Below are 22,205 nucleotides of genomic sequence, written 5' to 3'. Positions count from 1 at the left end.
TGTACTTTTAGTGGAGACAGGGTTTCATCACGTTGGCCAGGCTGGTCTTGAACTCCTGACCTCAGGTGATCCACCTGCCTTGGCCTCCCAAAGTGCTGGGATTACAGGTGTGAGCCACCGCCCCCAACCTTATAGTTCTTTAAACATGGTTTCCTTTAGTTCTTTGAACATGTTTAAAATAGGGATTTTTAAATCTTTGTGTAATAAGTTGAAAATTTGATTTTCCTGAAGGACGGTTTCATTGAATGCATTTTTCCTGTATGTGTGCCATGCTTTTTTGTTTCTTTGTATGTCACATACTTTTTGCCAAAAACTGTTCACTTTAAATAATTTTACAACTCTGAAACTCAGATTCCTTCTCCCTTCAGGATTTGTCGTTGTGGCTGTTTGTTTATTTTAGTGACTTTTTTGAACTAATTATGTAAAGTTTATATTTTTTGTCATGTGTGGTCACTGATGTCTTTACTTAGTTTATTGGTCAGCTAATGGTTGACCTGATTTTCTTAAATGCCTGGAATCCACCCCTCTTCCAGTCTGCTGAGGCACTTTATGCACATGTTGGGTCATGCCTTCAACAGTCAGCCTGGTGGTTCAGAACTGTGCCTTAGCCCTAACTTTCTGCTTTCACAAAGCCTCAAAGTTAGCCATAGTTGAGAGCCAGGGCTTTGTAAGCTCTTTCCTTTGCATGTACACAGACCTGGGAATCCACAATAGTATCCATGCACACGGCCTTCTAGATTCCTACCAGTAATTTTGGAGCTTTTCAGTGCACCATATGGACATGTAATTACCTACCTTTTCCTTTTAAGCTTTCAGTTAGCTTGTTGGTTCCCCCAACTGTTATTTACCCCCAAGACAGCTACAATGTTAAACAGATGCCTCTGAGTATTTTTGAGAAACTCCCCAGGAAAAAGGCAGTTCATGCTAGGTGAGGTCTGAGTCAGGTCAAATAAACATAGTATTGTAAGTGGGATCTTCCTGGAAACTACCAGAGAGGCCAAAGAATGACAGTTCTGTGGGAATCAGGCTTTGAAGGAGCTCCAACTTCATTTTTCTTTCCTCTAGTGGCTGTCAGACATGCATTCACCATGATTGTGGGCTATTTGTTGTCAAGGCTACCACATAACTGGGAAGGGGGTTGGGACTAGGCCATGGTAAAACAAAACAGATTCACGTTGGGGTGTGTGTGTGTGTATGTGTGTGTGTACGTGTGTGTGTGTTTTAAATAAACACTTATTGGATTGCTGCAAGCCTTTGTTTTATTTTCAGAACTCTAAAATAGTTGATTTCAACAATTTTTGTCAGTATTCTTGTTGCTTTTATGGAGAAGTAGATATTCAGAGTTTGATATCATTTGGCTATAGAAGTTTGAAATCCAAATTGACTGCTTTCCTCAGAAGCCTTGAGGATATTATTCATTTGTCTTCTAGTCTCGGTTTTTAAAAAGTCTGTTCTCGGTCTGGTTATCGGTTCTTTGTAAGTAATGTCTTTTTTACACCTTAGTGCATCAAAAAGTTTCTCTTTGCCTTTGTCTGCAGTACAATCTGTGCGTGTGTATTTCTTTTATTTCTTTTTTTTATCACCATTTTCATTGTGCCTTTTCAAAGAAGTCACATCTTTTAGTTTCTGAAAACTTTGAACATTTCCTTCAGTATTGCAGTTCTCCCACTCTCATTGTCTTTTTCTGCAGCTCTAGTAGATTTATATTAAACTTTCCTGTTCTCTCCTTTATGTCTCTTAACCTTCCATATTTTCTATCTTTTCATATCTTATCATTATAACAGTTTTACTCAAGTCTCTGTGTGCTCTGGCGTTGAGACCAGGCTGAGTCTTTTCATATCTTTATGTGACTTTCTTAGTAATTTCCTATTCTTTTCCAGTTCATTATCTCTGCAACAATGTTTACTCTCCTGTATTGTATTTTTTTTCTGCTTAGACTTTCTATTCTTTTTCATCTCTTTCTCTCTCTCTCTTTTTTTTTTTTTTTTTTTTCAACGGAGTCTCACTCTGTCACCCAGGCTGGAGTGCAGTGGCACGATCTTGGCTAACTGCAATCTCCACCTCCCAGGTTCAAGCGATTCTCCTGCCTCAGCCTCCCCAGTAGCTGGGATTACAGGAACCCACCACCACGCCCGGCTAATTTTTGTATTTTTAGTAGAGGCAGGGTTTCACCATGTTGGCCAGGCTGGTCTTGAACTGTTGACCTCAGGTGATCCGCCTGGCTCCATCTCCCAGGTCAAAGTGCTGGGATTACAGGCGTGAGCCACCACGCCCAGCCTAAAGTCTCTTTCAGATTGTTCTTTTTTAGTTCTTGGGATATTACTTTTTCATTTATCTGCGTGACTTTATTCATTTCCTTATATAGTTAATAATACTCAGTTTTGAATTCATTATTGATGGATAATTATGTTTTCTGTAAAGGTCCTTTGCTCCCTGGGTTGTGAATGGATCTCTAAAAATGAGTTTGTATTTTGTTTGAGCTGTTGCCAAAGGCCTGTACACACAATCAGCCAGTTTTTATGTTAACTCCCTGCCTTCAGACCATCACACCTCATAGATAGTTTATATTTAGATCTCATAAGAGAGTGTGGGAAGGCTTGAAGTTTTGCACTTACATGAAACTTTTTTTTTTTCTTGCCTACCCAGTTTCTGGGGTAGATGGGAAACTTTCATGCCACATCATCTGATCAATGAAAAGATATTTCGAGTTCCAGTCCTCCCAGACCTCAGTTTTGTGTAGTGTGGGATATGATGAGGTTCCTCTTCAAATAATCTGATCAATCTTTTGTTCGTTAATTTATAGAACCCCCCCACTTTTTTTCTCCTTTTTCTCCTTTTTTTTCCTTTTTGCCTTTGTTAGATCCCCAGGCACACCACAGTACCAAGCGTTATCAGTACCAGCTCACATTCCTTTCCTTATTTAGAAAGAGGACTAACTTTCTAGCTCATTACAGACACCCCTTCCCCTTTCTCTCCACTTTTTCTTCATGTGCCCACCCTATCTAAAAAAATTCAGATGTTTAGCCAACCAGGATTAGTTTAGATTGTACAACCCAACCCCAGCCAATGGGGAAAGAATGCAGAGGCAGGACTTGCGTCAGGAATAAAGGCTGTCGTGCCCCTTTGTTCAGGTGTGCTCTCATGGCAACTGGCCAAGGAGGCACCCCTCTACGCAGAAGTAAAATTGCTTTGCTAAGAATCCTTTGTTCAAGTGTTCAGTTTCCTTAGGATTTTGAGTGTTATTCCTAACAGTTCTTTGTCGGGTCCAGATCCTACCTCATGGGCCTAAGTCCGTGACTGTTTTTGGTGGGCATTGAAATGTCAGCCAAGTCTAACTTCCTGAGCCACTGCTGTGAGAAATCTCTATTTTTGGAACCTAGAGGTCTTTTTTTCTTTCTTTTTTAACCACACCTATTTATAAAACCTTTGGACTTCATCATTTTTTTAATGTGATTTAGTATCTGCAACAACCTTAGTCTACAAGGTTGCTGGAAACGGTTAGACGTGTGATCGACTTTGTTCCTGCAAGATTATAATATCTCCTGATTAATTTCTTAAGTTTCAGTTATAGTCTGTTATTATGAAACATATGTGTATATATATTTTTAAAACTTGCAACCCTTGCTGTTTATTGACTGAACCAGGCATTGTATTAAGTTCTTCTCGTAAGTAATATCGTATAGGCTTACATATCTATGGGGCTATGTTATTTCTTTTTAACACATTAAAAATTAAAATGCTAGAGGTTTTAAACAAAGGTTACAGAAATATTAAATGGCAGAGCTAAATTCAAATCCAGGACTGTCAGACTCTAAATTAATGCCTGTTTATTATTTTACCAGTCTGGCTAAGTGAGAAAATAATGTGGTAAGACATGTCTAGTACTACTCTTTGTTTATCAGAGTATAATGGTGCCTAAAATACCTAAATTTCCTTTTTTTTAAAAAAAGAAATAATTTTTTATTTTTAGGTTTTTCCAAGTTACACTTTCCAGTAGTGTAAAGGTAGAAAGAGCAATTTGGGATTGTAGCTGTGATTAGAATAAAGAAAAGAGATCATAATTCATCTAAAAAGGACACTGTGGCTACTACAGGTGACAGATTTTTTTCTTTTAAATTAGGAGGAATTTCTAATGCAGCTGTGTAAAAATAGAATTAGTAGCTTTGAATAGGTAGCTAGTTTTTCAAACACTCATAAGGTATACTGCATAGATAAGAGGAATAGGTCATTAGAATAAACTGTCTGCTTGAGGACCATAAACCCAGTTGGACCTGGGCTACCTGTTTTTGTAAATGAAATTTTATTGGCACACAGCCACTTGGTTACATATTATGTATGGCTGCTTTTGTGCTGCAACTGCAGAGTTGAGTGTTTAGTCTGTAGTGCCTAAAATATTTATTATCTGGCTCATTCTGGGAAGAGTTTACCAACTCCTCCTATATAAAGTAAGCCCCCAGGAATATGTTTTTACTTGACTGATCCCACAAAAAAGGAGGGAAACTTTAAGCTGAAGTTTAGTAACTCATTTGTTCTTTCCAAGGTTAGCACAGAAGCTACACAGTGGTCTCCTTTGCTAATTAGTAGATTCAGGCCATATCATGAGCTTCATTTAGTTATGAAAAGCTAAGCTAAAGACTGTTTCCTGGCATTCTTAGTTCCATCAGCCTAATTGAAAACCCCAACCAAGTTATTCTCTCTTAGTTTTGATTTTATTTATCTAAATGTAAAGCACATTTAGCATCAAATGAAGTTCATTGTGACCTCAGACAATGGGAGGCACCCACATGTGGGAGTGCTGGAAATAAACCTAGTGTCTAGCTGATGGGAAGCATTGTGCGAAGAAAAAGGAACTTGTCTGTCCAGTGAGATCTTTGCTGACTTTTTGTACTTTGACCCCATGTTTTTAAAAAATGAAGGACTTTAATTTTTTTTTAAGTTCATTTCCAAACTGGTACCTTTTTCTCACCAAACCTTTTTTACTGTTTCTATAAATATATGTGCTCCAATGTTTCTATTTTGTTTGTTTTTTCTTTCGGCCAGCTGTTTAGGTTAAAGTGGGTCATGTAGCACACACTCTTTTAAGGTCAATCCCAAATCTTGAGGTACCTTCTGTACATTACTGTTTTAGTACTTGTAACAGTGCCATGTTTGCATGAATGAAAATACATAATGCTCATTTTCATTTTTCTATGACGTTCCAAAATACTCTTTTGATACCTTTCATGTCAGCTTAGATCATTTATAAGACATTGATGTGTTAGGACTCCCTGACCTCCTTTGGTGAAGAAGTAATAAGCAAATCTTATAGGCTGGCTACATATAAACCTATCTGGCCGTGGGTAGATTTGCCAGTCCTCTGCACACCCCCACTCTACCCCAACAAATACATGTGAAATCAATTTTTTGACAGTTGCCTCCATTAAGACTTCATATCTGAATTACACTAATGGAGTTTACATTTTACATCCCCCCCCCCTTTTTTTTTTTTTTTTTTTGAAACAGGGTCTCACTGTATCACCCCAGCTGGAGTGCAGTAGCACAATCATGGTTCACCGCAACCTCAACTCCTTGGGCTCAGGTGATCTTCCATCTCAGCCTCCTGAGTAGCTGCCACAGGCACCTGTCATCACACCTGGCTAATTTTTTTACTTTTTGTAGAGACAAAGTTTCACCATGTTGCCCAGGCTGGTCTTAAACTCCTTGACTCAAGCAGTCCGCCCACCTTGGCCTCCCAAAGTGCTAGGATTACAGGCGTGAGCCACCGCACCTGGCCTACTTCCCTTTTAAGAGACCTATACAAAAGTTATTTAATGATAGTGGTGTCAGCATCTCAGAGGGTTGGAGGAAGAAGGTGGAAATAATGCAAGCATTAGGTAAAAGATTTAAACTTTTCTCCTTTGGAAGCCATGGCTAAGGTACTACTCAGACTTTGGTCATTGTGTCAGAGTCAGAATCAGAGATAAGAAAGATAAATACCACATAATATCACTCATAAGTAGAAGCTAAATAATATATACACATAGAAGCAGGGTGTGGGTTGATGGGTAGTGGGGACTTAGAGGGATGGCATGGGTGGTTGATGGCAGGTTGCTTGGTGAGTACAATGTGTGTTGCTACAGTGATGGATGCACTGAAGGCCCTGACTTCACCACAGTGCAATATATCAATGTAGCAAAATTGTACTTCTACCCCATGAATATATACAAGTTGTAAAACAAATTTTTAAAGCCAGATAACTTGCTATATACCTGTTTAGAGTAAGGATATGGAGCTGCCATCCCCGTGTTGTAGAATTTATTTCATTTTTAAATGTTTGATTTAGTGTGAAAGGTAACAGATTGCTACTTCAGTCAGAGAGTCTGAGAAAGGAGGGTAAACATTACTGAAATTGTAGTCTTGGCCTTTGTAAGAAGTGTAGAAGTTGAGTGCAGAGGGTACCTAGGTGAGATGATTAGGGCTCCAAGAGTTTGTCCCCAGCTTGACTTCTGTCAAACTCTCTGAGAAGGATGTTTTTTCCTTCTCATTGTGAACATTCTACCCTCAAGGCACTGAAAGCTTTCATCGTTGCCTGCTTTTGAAAAGGAAGTTATTGGACTTCTGCCTACCTTGGCTGCAACTGGAGTGAGAGGAGATGCAGGAAAGTGAGAAAGTGCACTTTAACCTGGCAGTGTTTGCTTTACATGTGTTATGTCATGATAAGAATAAGGGGTCTCATTAAAAACATTAATGCTGCATTAGGAGAATGCTTCATTCTCTTATTTTGTATTTTGACAGTTCTGCCCCCAACCTCATTTTGCTAGAACTAGAAAAGTGCTTTTATTATTATTTTTTTCTGAGATGGAGTTTTGCTCTTATTGCCCAGGCTGGAGTGCAATGGTGCAATCTCAGCTCGCTGTAACCTCCGCCTCCTGGGTTCAAGCAATTCTCCTGCCTCAGCCTCCTGAGTAGCTGGGATTACAGGTGCCTGCCACCATGCCTGGCTAATTTTTTGTATTTTTAGTAGACACAGGGTTTCAGCTTGTTGGCCAGGCTGGTCTCGAACCCCTGATCTCAGGTGATCCACCTGCCTCGGCCACCCAAAGTGCTGGGATTACAGGCATGAGCCACCGTGCCCGGATGAAAAGTGCTTTTAAAAAAGCATACCCCGTCTCTACTAAAAATACAAAAAAAAAAATTAGCCAGACATGGTGGCAGGCGCCTGTAGTCCCAGCTACTCGGGAGGCTGAGGCAGGATAATGACGTGAACCCGGGAGGTGGAGCTTGCAGTGAGCCGAGATTGCGCCACTGCACTCCAGCCTGGGCGACAGAGCGAGACTCTGTCTCAAAAAATAAATAAATAAATAAAATAAAAATAAATAAAAAAGCATAAAATAATTCAATTTTTTTGAAGGACTTTTAGAAACTGTTTAATTTTAGAAACTATCTGATTGTGATACATGCTAACACACTCATATACTCCCTCCTCCCCACAACACACACACAGCCTCTCTTTGTCGCTCATAAAGTCCTTCGGAAGCTTTCTCAGTGCTTTTAGGAGTATGACAGAAGTCCTTACATGGCCAACAGGAACCTGCATGGTCTTTTCACCACTTACTGTGTCTTCCTCATCTTTCTGTTGTGCTCCCCCTTGTGCTCTCCTCCAGCCCTGCTGTCATTCCTCCACATGGAAGTCTTTTTTTTTTTTTTTTTTTTTTTGAGACAGAGTCTCGCTCTGTCGCCAGGCTGGAGTGCAGTGGCGCAATCTCGGCTTACTGCAACCTCCGCCTCCTGGGTTCAAGCGATTCTCCTGCCTCAGCCCCCCAAGTAGCTGGGACTATAGGAGCACACCACCACGTCCAGCTAATTTTTGTATTTTTAGTAGAGACAGGGTTTCACCATGTTGGCCAGATCTGCTGACCTGGTCGTGATCTCCTGACCTTGTGATCCACCCACGTTGGTCTCCCAAAGTGCTGGGATTACAGGTGTGAGCCACCGCACCCGGCCAGGAAGTCTTTTTTGACTCCTGCCATGTTCTCCTGGCACTTCTTCCTTATACAGAGATCACACATGCACATTGTACATTTGCTCAGTGAGTGTAGGGACTGCTGCTCTGGTTTTCTTGTTTGTTTGTTGCTTATTTCTGTATCACCAGGATCTAACACAATGCTTGGTTAGCTGTACCCGAGTATTTACTGAGTGCATGAATTCCATCCATTGTATTTTCTGTAGCTACCTGATCTTTATTTGAACCTTTCAAGATATCTCATTCCATTTTGGTGTTCTTATTATAATAGAAATTAGAGAAAATATTTGCAACCAAAATGAGAAAAAGGTAATATTAATATACAAAGAGCTCATATAAGTTACTGAAGAAAATGTCTAAAGCCCTAATAAATAGGCAAAGAATGTAAATAGCTAAGTCACAAAAGAAATCTTAGAATGCTTAAAAGATCCAGGTGCAATGGTTCATGCCTGTAATCCCAACACTTTAGGAGGCCAAGGCAGTAGGATCACTTGAAGCCAGGAGTTACAAGCTTAGCAACAAAGCAAGACCTCATCTCTACAAAAAACAAAAAAATAAAAAAACTAGCCAGGCGTAGTGGCACTCACCTGTAGTCCCAGCTATTCTAGAGCCAAGGGAGGGAGGATTGCCTTGAGCCCAGGGATTTGACGCTATGGTGAGCTATGATCGTGTCACTGCACTCAGCCTGGGCAATAAAGAGACACACTGACTCTTAAAAAAAATGGCCAAAAGAGATCTGAGAATAATTATCTTTACTAGGCATCAAATAAGTGCAAATCAAAGCAAACTGCCACCTATTAATTGAGCAAAACATTTAATTGATAATCTATTTTTCAGAATGTATTGGTCTAGTTAGAATATCAATTCTTACCTTTCTGACAGATGACTAGTCCTTTGTAAATACCCAGTCACCTCTTTTCAGTTAAAGTTGCTGTCTCCAAGGAGTTTGCAATCTAATTGGGGAGGTAAAATCTCAACTCAAGAAATGAGAAGTCAGCATGAAAACCCATTGATGTCGTATTGCTTTTGCTGCTCTGATGTGGTGGCTCACACCTGTAATCCCAGCACTTTGGGAGGCTGGGGTGAGAGGATCACTTGAACCCAGGAGTTCAAGAGCAGCCTGGGTAACATGGCCAAACCCTGTGTCAAAAAAAGTTTTTAAAAATTAGCCCGGCGTGGTGGCACATGCCTGTAGTCCCAGCTACTCAGGAGGCTGAGGTGAGAGGATGGCTGGAGGCTGGCAAGTAGAGGCTGTAATGAACTGAGATGGTGCCACCAGAAGGACGGAGTTTCCCTTAACCAAGATAATATGTATAGTGGCTAGTCTGGCACATGGCACTTACTGGGTATTCCATAAAGAGTAGTTTATTTCCCCAAAATGTAGAGTAAGAGTGAAAGACTTTGATCCAATGTACTTCTGTCCACCTACACAAGCAAATAGAATGTTTCACCAGAATAATTAGACAAAAAATTTTATATGTAATTGGCACATTGGAATCCTTGTAAATTACTCCTTCTGTTGGCCAAGAGATTTACTCCTTTGGTGGAACTTGTGTTTTTCCATATGACAATAATATAGTAATGGCAAGTATATCAATAATAATAAAACTTTTTTTAAAAAGTAAAGGGAAAATCTTACCAAATTAATGTTTCATTTTAAGGAAAATATGACTCTATGCCCATTTTTTTCCTTCCAGGATGTTGCCTTATGGCTGTTTAGCAACAGGAGATCGCTCTGGCCTCATTGAAGTTGTGAGCACCTCTGAAACAATTGCTGACATTCAGCTGAACAGTAGCAATGTGGCTGCTGCAGCAGCCTTCAACAAAGATGCCCTTCTGAACTGGCTTAAAGAATACAACTCTGGGTTAGTTTATTCTGTTTAATTATCATTTTTCTGTACAAACAGCCAAACAAATACTGTATGCTCCCAATAGAAGTCAGCAGTGTGTTAGAGGAAATATTAGTGTTTTTTATCTATTGCTTCATTTCTTGTTAGAACAAAATGACACATAGCCCTTCGTAAAGTCTTGTAAATGGTGAATGTTGAATTCTACTTTATCTAAATCAAATTTTGGAGCCCCGCAGTAAAGTTACAATCTATGAATTTAAGTATTTAAAGATAACATACTGAAGCCTTTGTTCAAGTGCATCAGCTTCTCTAATTATGTGAATATATGAACTTAAGTGAGTTTTTAATGAGTTGGTAGATTGTGATTTCTCCAAACTAAAAAATGCAATGTTTGGAATTATGGCTATGGTGTTAGAAAAGCACTAATATATAGGAAATAAAAGAACTTCACAGTGTGAGGGGGAAATGGTCTGCAAGTATTTTTGGCTAAAGACTTCAGAGTCAGACACATTTTATCGAGAACTTGTAATATGCAAATCAGTTTCCAAATTTTGATCTTAAGGCCTTGTCTCCAGGGAATCTCTATTACTTACTTCTAATTGAAATCAGTGACTTAAATGTTTGAAACTGCAGTGCTTAACTCTTAAACATGAAATTGTAGTCAGTCTTTGGTCAAAACTAACTAAAATGTGCCCAACCCCTAGCATGATCTAGCAAAGCCATGGTCTCTTCTAAGTACTGTGAACATTAGTCTACTCACAGCCCCACCGAAACACAGCTCCCAGGACGTTTGAATATCTAAGGCCCAGTTATTTAATGTCTTTGAAGGCAGCTCTCTCAGCCCAGCCCCTGTGAAGACCACCCACACTCCCCTTGGCTGATCCACATGTTCTCTCATACGGTTTTGGCAGCTCTGTGTTCTCCTCACAATTAAAAAGGAAACAGAGGTATGGTTTGGGTCTCACTCTACACGCTTGGAGGCTGAAAACCTTTTTTGCTTCTGTTCTTTTCTCTTGTTCAGGGATGACCTGGACCGAGCCATTGAGGAATTTACACTGTCCTGTGCTGGCTACTGTGTAGCTTCTTATGTCCTTGGGATTGGTGACAGACATAGTGACAACATCATGGTCAAAAAAACTGGCCAGGTGAGCTGCTCCTCAGGATCTGCCAAGGGCCTTAGTAATGCTATTTCTTATGTATAGCATAATCTCTTGTGCAACTCAGCCAGATTCTTTTGTGATTCTTAGTGTCATATCTTTGTCTTTACTTCAATTTCTCACTACCTCTCGTTTCATATATAGTCTACTACATGTATTCATTTGTTTGCTTGCTTGATGGTAAGCATTTATTTGTTTAAAAAATTACTAAAGGCTGTGTGTGGTGGCTCACGCCTGTAATCCCAGCACTTTGGGATCCCGAGCCGGCCGGATTACCTGAGGTCAGGAGTTTGAGACCAGCCTGGTCAACATGGCGAAACCCCGTCTCTACTAAAAATATAAAAATTAGCCAGGCATGGTGGCAGGCGCCTGTAATCCCAGCTACTTGGGAGACTGAGGCAGGAGAATCACTTGAACCTGGGAGGCGGAGGTTGCAGTGAGCCGAGATCGCCTCACTGTGCTCCAGCCTGGGCAACAAGAGTGAAACTCCATCTCAAAAAAAAATTATTGAAAAAATTTTTGTAGTTAAAGTGGCCTGTTCTTCAATATAAGAAATAGTATTTGGGATACATTTGTACCTAACAGAAGGAGCGGATAATGTACTGGATGTATTAAATTTAAAGATTACCAATGCTATTCATATCCTTTGCCCACTTTTTGATGGGGTTGTTTGTTTTTTTCTTGTAAATTTGTTTGAGTTCATTGTAGATTCTGGACATTAGCCATTTGTCAGATGAGTAGGTTGCGAAAATTTTCTCCCATTTTGTAGGTTGCCTGTTCACTCTGATGGTAGTTTCTTTTGCTGTGCAGAAGCTCTTTAGTTTAATTAGATCCCATTTGTCAATTTTGGCTTTTGTTGCCATTGCTTTTAGTGTTTTAGACATGAAGTCCTTGCCCATGCCTATGTCCTGAATGGTAATGCCTAAGTTTTCTTCTAGGGTTTTTATGGTTTTAGGTCTAACGTTTAAGTCTTTAATCCAAAAGAAGACATTTATGCAGCCAACAGACACATGAAAAAATGCTCATCATCACTGGCCATCAGAGAAATGCAAATCAAAACCACAGTGGGATACCATCTCACACCAGTTAGAATGGCAATCATTAAAAAGTCAGGAAACAACAGGTGCTGGAGAGGATGTGGAGAAATAGGAACACTTTTACATTGTTGGTGGGACTGTAAACTAGTTCAACCATTGTGGAAGTCAGTGTGGCGATTCCTCAGGGATCTAGAACTAGAAATACCATTTGACCCAGCCATCCCATTACTGGGTATATACCCAAAGGACTATAAATCATGCTGCTATAAAGACACATGCACACGTATGTTTATTGCGGCACTATTCACAATAGCAAAGACTTGGAACCAACCCAAATGTCCAACAATGATAGACTGGATTAAGAAAATGTGGCACATATATACCATGGAATACTATGCAGCCATAAAAAAGGATGAGTTCATGTCCTTTGTAGGGACATGGATGAAATTGGAAATCATCATTCTCAGTAAACTATCACAAGGACAAAAAACCAAACACCGCATGTTCTCACTCATAGATGGGAATTGAACAATGAGAACACATGGACACAGGAAGGGGAACATCACACTCTGGGGACTGTTGCGGGGTGGGGGGAGCGGGGAGGGATAGCATTAGGAGATATACCTAATGCTAAAGGACGAGTTAATGGGTACAGCACACCAGCATGGCACATGTATACATATGTAACTAACCGGCACATTGTGCACATGTACCCTAAAACTTAAAATAAAAAAAAAAAAAAAGATTACCAATGCTAAAAAAAAAAAGTTGGGATGAACCCCACTTGAGTTATTTTCTCTTTTAGAACATCATACCTAATTATATATGGGAGAAGGGAGAACAGTCGTGTGAGTAATAGCATTCTGGGGTACCTAGGGAATCTAGACCATGTTGTTTATAAAGTACTTAAGTTTTCAAATGAAAATTTCATTTTTCAGAGTGACATATTTGTAAACACTTTTTATGTTAAGCAAAAACAGATGAGATATCTTAGATAATTTTTCAGTTTAGCCCCCCTAGGAATTCCCACATTAGAGGCATACTAGAATGAAAATCTCTCTGGGTCACTGTGTGAACTTTGGTTCTATGAGGGACCCACAGTTTTGTATCTCCTTGGAAATCTGGATTAGTTCTGGCTTGGGCTTTGAGAGTTGATGTGGAATGAATTTGTAATGCACTATAATACATGAATGCACCATGTACGATTGAGGAATCTCGTGTCCATACTTAAAAGGAGTCCCTTGGACTTCCGTCCAATCACATTAAACACTTAGATTTATCTCCATTTTCTTCTTTTACACCTCTAAAACAATAATAAGGAATTAAGAAATATATAAACTCAAGAAGTCAAAGATGATAGGAAAATAGGCCACAGTGGGTGAAACCTATTACCAGACTTCGGGGTGATAGAAAGTGAGATAGAGAAGTGGCAGTGACTTAGCAGAACTGAGAAAATAGAAAGTCAGTACTTGTAAAGGGGTACGCAAGTCCCATAAAAGCTCTGGAATCAGAGGCACCATGTATACTGTTCAAGGAGGGATACAGAAAGAGGCTGAAACAGAACTAGTTGGCAGCTTATATATGGAACAGTTAGGCACTCAAGTCCCCTTCCCTATGCCAAGAAGGAGATAGATTTATTCTCTGAAGAAACTGGTTCTGACTCAAGCACACTTATTTCTACAGAGACTACAAGAAAGGGTCCCATATTAAAAATGGAGATGGAGTGAAAGTCGGCGTAGTAAATGGTACAATCTGCAGCCACTTCCACTTGCTTTATTCTAAGAACAGTGGCAGCCAGATGTATAGTTGACCCTCATCAAAAGACTAGGTGATTCTATTCTAGAAATCTGATTGGTTCCATTGAAAAGTCCTGCAGATCTGACAGTTGAGATTTCTCCCTAGTTTCTATACAAGGAAGTCCACCAATCAACAAGCAAGCCTACCATGTACATAGAATTTTCATTCAGCTTTTTAGTGATTCATTGTTAAATATGAATGGTCAGCTAAGGATTAATATACTTTTAAAAAATGACAAAAATTGAATATGTTTATCATGTACGACATATTGTTTTGAAGTATGTCTTCATTGTGGACTTGATAAATTGAGCTGACCTGTGTGTTACCTCACATACTTATCTTTTTTTGTGATGATAACATTTAAAACCTAGTCTTTCAGCAGTTTTCAGGAATACAATATATTGTTGTTAACTATAGTTGCCATGTTGTAAGACAGATCTGTTGAACTTATTCCTCCTAAGTGAAATTTTGTATTATTTGACCAGTATCTCCCCAGCACCTGCAGCCACCATTCTACTCTCTACTGGATTAGCAGACATTTAAGGGAAACCTCTACCATGAAAGATAGAAACCAAATAAGCAAAATAGGGAAGAAAAGAAAAGAACTCTGGGAAAACAGGGTAACTGCAGTAAACAGAGGGTGATTTTAAAAATCAAAGCAAAAAAATATATTGTATCTTTAAAGTAATAATAGGATTCTGTTTTTTACAATCAGCACATAGAGGTCTTGAAAATTAGAAATAGGAACAAACAAAAAGTTAAAATAGAAATAGTGTAAATATTTTGTGGCAGGCATAGTTGTAAGTGCTTTATATATAATCTAATGCCTTCAGGCCTGATGACAACCTTATAGAGTGGCGGCAATAGCCCCATTTTACAAGTGAGGATATTAAGGCAACAGAGAGTAGACATATCAGGATTTTAACCCTGGCAGTTTGGCTCATATTCTTTTTTTTTAATCCACCATGCCTTAATATCTCCAAAAAATATGATAAATAGAGAGAAGATCCAGAAACAATAGAGACTCAGTCCAGGGAGGTATACTCTCAGCCTAATGGATATTCCAGAAAGAAGGAGAATGGCGTGAACCTGGGAGGTGGAGCTTGCAGTAAGCTGAAATCACGCCACTGCACTCTAGCCTGGGCGACAGAGCAAGACTCCGTCTCAAAAAAAAAAAAAAAAAAAAAAAAAAAGAAGAGGAAAGAAGGGCACTTACTAAGCAAATAATATACTAAGACATTTCCCAGAGCCAATGTTCATGAATATCCAGTCAAAATAGCACAAAAATTTTCTGAGAATGGAAGAAAAACACCCTTACTAAGTACCTGCACTATGAAATTTCAGTGCATCAGACGTAAAGAGAAAGTCTTAAAACTTTCGCAGAGACACAGCAGGCCACATACCAGAGTTTAGAAGTCAAAATGACTTGGCTCCTCAATAGCTACATTGGCAATTATAAGACAGTGCACGTTAGCCTTCATAATTTTGAGGGAAAATGATTTCTAACCTAAAATTCGATAACCAAACTTTTTTTTTTTTTTCTGAGATGGAGACTTGCTCTGTCGCCCAGGCTGGAGTGCAGTGGCGTGATCCCGGCTCACTGCAGCCTCCGCCTCCTGGGTTCAAGTGATTCTCCTGCCTCAGCCTCCCCAGGCAGCTGGGGGACCACAGGCATGCGCCACCACGCCCAGTCAAGTATAAAGGGTAGAATGAAGACATTTTTCCAACTTGCAGGGTCACAAAACTTGTCACTCCTCTGCATCTTTTCTCAGAGGCTGCCAGAATAAGGACATCTACCAAAACAAGTGCCTAAACCAATAATTATCAAGTGGGGTGATTTTTCACTCAGGGGACATTTGTTAATATATGAAAACAGTTTTAGTTGTCATAACTGGGGGGTGGGGTAGTCCAGTGGATAGAGGCCAGGGATGCTGCTAAACACCCATACAGGACAGAACCCCATATCAAAGAATTATATGGCCTATGTCAGTGTGTGCCAGTATTGAGAAACCCTGGTCTCAACCAAAAGAGAATGTGATGTGGGACACAAAACGGGCTCCAAATGGGAGAAGAGGAAAGGGAAGGCCCAGGATGATGGCTCTGCAGCAACACCGGAGAACAACCAGCCCAGCTAGAAACCAGTAGATTACCTGACTGTCTGGAAAACAGTTTTGAAAATGATTTGTAGATTTGTTGTTGTTTGATTTGTAGATTTTTAAGGAGAGTTTGGGAAGAATTAATGCTAAGGTCATAGAACACTAAGCTAAATGAATGAATGAATACATGCGTACAGTTTTCTAAAGGAAAAAAGGTGAACATGTGAAAAATAAAAACACTGAATATTGATGTAACCAGAAATTATGACATAATGTGCCACAGTGTGTAGCATTATGTTAGCATAAAAGTACTAAATCTTTATCTTCCATAATAAGAATAGTAATATACAATTAGGGAGCAAAAATAAATATAAACATATTATTTAGAAAAATGGAGGCAGACACCAGGAAAAACACCTAGTGAGAAGAGTAAGAAGTTACCTCTAAAGAGTAGCACTCAATGTGGGGAGCTAGTAGGGCAAGGATGTACTTTTTTGTTGTTGTTGTTGTTGTTGAGACAGGGTCTTACTCTGTCACCCAGGCAAGAGCGTAGTGGCATCATCATGGCCCATTGCAGCCTCGACCTCCTAGGCTCAAGCAATTCCCCCACCTCACCCCCCTGAGTAGCTGGGACCACAGGTGTGTGCCACTATGCCTGACTAATTTTTTCCTTCATTTGTAGAGATGGGGTCTCGCTATGTTGCCTAGGCTGGCCTTGAACTCCTGGTTTCAAGTGATCCTCCTGCCTCAGCTTCCCAAAGTGCTGGGATTGCAGACATGAGCCACCACAACCAACCTGTACTCTTTTCTTGTTATGTTTTATAGAACTATTTGACTTTTTAAAAATCAGACATTTTAATTCTTTGGATGTATTTTTCTTTCTAAAGCGTCTCCTTTTCCACTAGATATCTACAGTTTAATATCAGGGTTATTTATTATTGATTGTAAAAGTCTTAAGAGTGTTAGATATGGTCTCTTCTCACCTGGCTCAGTGGGCTATAAACAGAGGGAGAAGGGCTCAGATGTGGATGGGTATAGTTCCTGGGGGTCTAGGACTATGGAGGTTTTGCCTTTATATTTGGAACCCACCAGAAAAATGAAGGAAATTAAATCCCATTTGTTTTCCAGCTCTTCCACATTGACTTTGGACATATTCTTGGAAATTTCAAATCTAAGTTTGGCATTAAAAGGGAGCGAGTGCCTTTTATTCTTACCTATGATTTCATCCATGTCATTCAACAAGGAAAAACAGGAAATACAGAAAAGTTTGGCCGGTGAGTACTGCCCTTGTGCCAAGGCTGAACACTTCTAACATTTTCTTATCTGACCAGGTGGACCAGCATTTCTTAGCTGAGATATATTTGGATCTGGGAGATATTCAGTCTGATTATAGGAAGCTTTTGGGGGAATTTGCCTGTCAGATTATTGTGCTGGTTCAGAAATTCCCAGATAGGAGAAACAGAATGCTAGAAATTTAAAATAATTATTATATTTTATTCCAATAATATACTACCTTTTACCTGTTTCAGAACATTCTCTGAAACTATTAAGACAGTTGATAGGAAGATGCTGAAAAGACATCTGCTGTCATTGTGTATGGAGTACAGTAAGGGAACTAGAATTCAGGGCAAATTTTTTAATCTCTGATCTATTACTGGCTACCTACATGTTCCCAAGCATAATACTTGTCTTTTTGCCTTTGTATCATCTTAAAATGGGGACAAAAATATGAAATTAAGGGCTACTATGATGGTTAGAGACATATCATGTAACCAACACATACTTAACAAATCATTGTCACTATCCTTTATAGTTCTGTTTGGGTTTCTGCAGAATATACCTCAGTGGGTCTAGTTTTCTCTTTGGCAAAATAAGGGGATACGATTGGATGGTCCTCAGCCTGGCGCGGTAGGTCATGCCTGTAATCTCAGCACTTTGGGAGGCCAAGGCACACAGATCACTGGAGGTCGGAGTTTGAGACCAGCCTGACCAACATGGTGAAACCCCGTCTCTACTAAAAATACAAAAAGTAGCCAGGTGTGGTGGCACACGCCTGTAATCTCAGCTACTCAGGAGGCTGAGGCAGAATTGCTTGAACCTGGGAGGCAGAAGTTGCAGTGAGCCAAGATCACGCCACTGCACTCCAGCCTGGGAGACAGAGCAAGGTTCCATCTCAAAAAAAAAACATTGGATGATCTTCTTGAGGGACCATCTTGAAGAGGAGAGAGAGGGAAGGCAGGATGACAGGAAGGAGCAAAAGCACTGACACTGATTGAGGGGACTTTTAAAAAATTAGTTTCTGGAATCAGACCACAAATATAGAACCCAGAAGTATGTTCAGAAATCCTTGTGGATTATAATTATAACTGATTTAATAATCAGTTCTTGTGTCTCATAGAATTAAAAAGTCTAGATTATTATTAAAAATGTAATAGCCTTTCGTCATAGAATTTCTATTTAGTTTTGTTTTTGAAAAATATATCTGTGATGTTAGAGAGATTGATTGTTTTATGTAGATTTTAGTCCTGGGACAATTTTCGCAGAAGTAAAAATCAGAAATGAACCTTTAGTTCAGTAGGAATTTTCTTATTCTAATAGAAAGTCTAGCTGTGTTTTCTTAATTTCCTGTATGAAATGTGCTCTCTCCCCTCTAACACTGTGCTCATGTGGTTTGCTGCATCACCCAAAGGTTCCGCCAGTGTTGTGAGGATGCATATCTGATTTTACGACGGCATGGGAATCTCTTCATCACTCTCTTTGCGCTGATGTTGACTGCAGGGCTTCCTGAACTCACATCAGTCAAAGATATACAGTATCTTAAGGTATAAAACCACTTTTCCTTCTCTCTTGGACTTTGTGGGCATTGAGCTCAGTTTTAGCTGCCTGTTTTATTCAAGTGGCTGAAGGAAGTAGAACAAAGTCATTTCCTCTAAGATGGTTCTTAGCCAGGAGGGAAAGAATCTGGGAAGTACATAAAGGAGGAATTTTGTAGAGTAGCTTGTAACCCAGAAGATTTTCCCATCAGTAGAAGGGGCGTAAAGAAGACTGGTATTGGGCTGTAGCCTTCTTACTCACATTACTGAAAGACCGCAGATCAGGAGCGGGTTGCCACCTTGATTTTCCACAGTCTGCCTTTTTCTTGCCAGGATCTTAGTAGGTCTTGAGTCATCTTACTGGATTTGGGTGGTAGTGGCAAGCAGCTGTGCATCCTGCAGTAATTATAAATTATTTTCATCTTCAAAAACCTTTTGGAAGAAGTCATATTATCTCCCTATCTTGGGGTTCTGCCTCCTGCAGATGATATTTAAATAAGAACATGAAGCATGCTGCCTGATGGTGGCTGGGGAGGCACAACCAATCCAGCCTCCTGCAGACTTTGATATTTGCACATCTCTACTAAAGTTATATAAAATCATATTTTCCCCCTTCCATTTTAGGACTCTCTTGCATTAGGGAAGAGTGAAGAAGAAGCACTCAAACAGTTTAAGCAAAAATTTGATGAGGCGCTCAGGGAAAGCTGGACTACTAAAGTGAACTGGATGGCCCACACAGTTCGGAAAGACTACAGATCTTAACGATCAGCCTTCGCTCCTAATGTATTTGTTGGTTTCATTTCATTTTCATTTTGCACTTGCACTAAATTGAACATGACCCTGTTAGAGATGTTATAAAGGGAATGAAATCCTGGAACTCAGAGTTAAATTAAGAACAAGGCATCCCACAGAACCTAATCTGAACAATCCCCGATGATTCCCTCTGCTTTTTGAATGCTTCCAAGACTTATCATGAAAACTGTCAATGGATAATCATTTCCTGCTGACTTTGCACGCCAAGGAATGCTACTAGGGATTGTTTCCGTTTTTGTTTGTTTTTTCTAATATTTGGTACTTCCCAGAATGGTGTAAATACTTCTTTTCAATGTTGTGACCAAGTATTGTCACTCAGCCAACAACTTTTCCACACCTGGGGGTTGGTGGCTGTTCTTACTGTCCAAATGAAGCTAAAAAGAAAGGCATCTTTCTTCCCTTTTAAAATTGTGTAAACTGCAAATTATAATATAATTTGAATTTATGATTATTTTCCAGAAGAAATCTTGTAAACCTGTGGATACTCATTAATTCTTTTGTTAATATTTATTTCCATGATAGCATCATTCCAGCCAGACTTGCTGAAAATCTACTGGTGAGGCAAATATAATATATATAAATATGCTACATATATATTTATAAAATTTCTAGTGGGAGTTCTATATAAATGTTTCTTTGGTATTCTTCAGCCTGTGATTTAAAGTTTTACAAAAAGCAGAGCTTTTTCCTAAGTTACTTTTCAGTTAGGTAACTGTGTGATCCAGTTCTTCCAGCTGCTTCTATAATGAGGCACATATTAATACAGTTTTTATATGGTATCTATGAAAGAGTTCACTTCATAGAGAATAATACTTGAGCAAATGTATCCAAGAAAGCAAGCAAATGAAAAGAAACCTATTTATGGAATAAACTCCAGATCTGAAATTCAGTATTTTAGAAAAATGCCAGCTCTTCTTACTGTATTTATTAAAACTTGTAATAATGTGATTTTTTTCAAGGATATTAGTTCAAATTGAAATGGTTTCACGCCACACGGAAATCTTTAAGTTATTTGTTGAGGTACCATATATTTAGGGTGCTAGGGGCAAGTAATGTTAATATGTGCAATAGGAACTACTGGTTTGAATGTGTAAATGGGTGATCTCTCTGAGTCCTGGCAACATCCAGCAAAACTACTGCTTATTCTCCAAAGAATATTGGGAGCTCTCAATCCTCGGTGATATGGGAAAGAGAACTGAGTATTTGCCCTATGACTGAGCTTTCTATAGGAATTTTATTAAAGAATGTTTAATTTTGTTGTCCTTCTTAATGTTCTCAGTCAAATAAATGAGTGAGCTGGTTTCGGCTGCTCTTGGAATGGGTGAGCCTCTTCTTTATGGGTAGACTGGGCCTTTGGAACTTGGCACTGGAACTCCAAGAAATGGCCAAGTCAGTAGACAAACCAACCTCAGGAATAGGCTAAGGCTTATTATGGCCTCTTCCCTGACTTCTCCCCTTGTTTCCCAGCCTCATCAGGCATGGTATAGGAGGCCCCCTGGACTTTGGTGGGAGCCTGAGGTAAGGAGCCATGCATATGGGAGGTGTCCTGAAGTCTGGGTAGTTACTTGGCACTGAGCCAAGGCCAGACTCTGCTGCTTTGGAGCTCTTGTTCATGGGGCAGATGCTGGAGCAGTCCAGTTCCTTGGAAATAACTCAGCTGAGGATGGGAGTTGGCCCCTGAATTCCTCATTTCCAGGGCTGGTGTAGACTCACTGAGACTTCCAGGAATAGAACTATGGAAGGACAGGTTTGTTCAGAGATCTTTGTCTAGTAGCCACCCACCATTTCATGAACCAGGCCGCAGGTCAGTGGTTTGGAGAATGGTGAACACTGCCAGGAAGAAATGGATACCATTCTTTCCAGAGGGGTCTCCTCAGCCAAAAGGAGGGCCTTGATAAATACATGCCAAATCAGTGAAGTTCAAGTCAACTGTTTTTCCCATATGGGCACCAAATTGTATCTTTCCTGTTTTCTTTGAAGGGTTAAGTAACGTGACCATAGTCACAGAGTAGTTGATGGAGCCAGTATTCAAACCCAGAAAGTAAGAAGCCTATTTTAATTATCTGTGCTCTTTACTCACAATGCCTCAGTATACATTTCAGATTTATTGGGTTCCACAAATAGAAATCTATGGAAATTTTGAATCAAATTGCATTAAGCTATAGACAAGGTTGAGACAAATTGACATCTCCAGAATATTGAGTTTTCCAAAATATGTAAGTGGAGTACCCATTTATTTAGATTATCTTTCATTTATATCCGCAATGATTTATAGTATTCTGTGTTTACATATTATGCATCGTTTGTTAGATTCCTGGGTAAGTGACTTTATTGTAAGTTTCATTGTTGTTAATCTATAGCAATCATTCTCCAAGTGTGGTCCCCTGATGAGGAGCATCAGCATCACCAGAGAGAACTGGTTAAAAATGCAAATTCTTAATTTTTAATTTTTGTGAGTACATAGTAGATATATATATGGGGTACATGGAATATTTTGATACAGGCATATAACATGTAATTATCGCATCAGGGTAATTGGGGTATCCATTACCTCAAGCATTTATCCTTTGTATTAGAAACAATCCAGTTATACTCTTTTAGTTATTTTAAGATCTATAATTAAATTATCGACTATAGTTA

The 22,205-nt window shown here is 39.5% G+C and overlaps 1 protein-coding gene across 13 annotated transcripts in view; it reads left to right on the top strand.

Moving 5' to 3' along the window:
• PIK3CB (phosphatidylinositol-4,5-bisphosphate 3-kinase catalytic subunit beta) overlaps nucleotides 1-22,205 on the top strand; it is a 182,231-nt gene extending 160,026 nt beyond the window's left edge. For all 13 annotated transcript variants that reach the window (NM_001437290.1, NM_001437286.1, NM_001437289.1 and 10 more), the window contains 5 exons: nucleotides 9,700-9,867; nucleotides 10,874-10,997; nucleotides 17,068-17,213; nucleotides 18,629-18,761; nucleotides 19,377-22,205. In NM_001437290.1, coding sequence (NP_001424219.1) covers nucleotides 9,700-9,867; nucleotides 10,874-10,997; nucleotides 17,068-17,213; nucleotides 18,629-18,761; nucleotides 19,377-19,514 — 709 coding nt within the window. In that variant the 3' untranslated portion in view covers nucleotides 19,515-22,205. The remainder of the gene's footprint in view (nucleotides 1-9,699; nucleotides 9,868-10,873; nucleotides 10,998-17,067; nucleotides 17,214-18,628; nucleotides 18,762-19,376) is intronic.

This window comes from Homo sapiens, chromosome 3 (assembly GCF_000001405.40).
Source record: "Homo sapiens chromosome 3, GRCh38.p14 Primary Assembly".
In the NCBI taxonomy this organism is placed as follows: Eukaryota; Metazoa; Chordata; class Mammalia; order Primates; family Hominidae; genus Homo; species Homo sapiens.
This window is presented reverse-complemented; position numbering and strand designations above follow the sequence as displayed.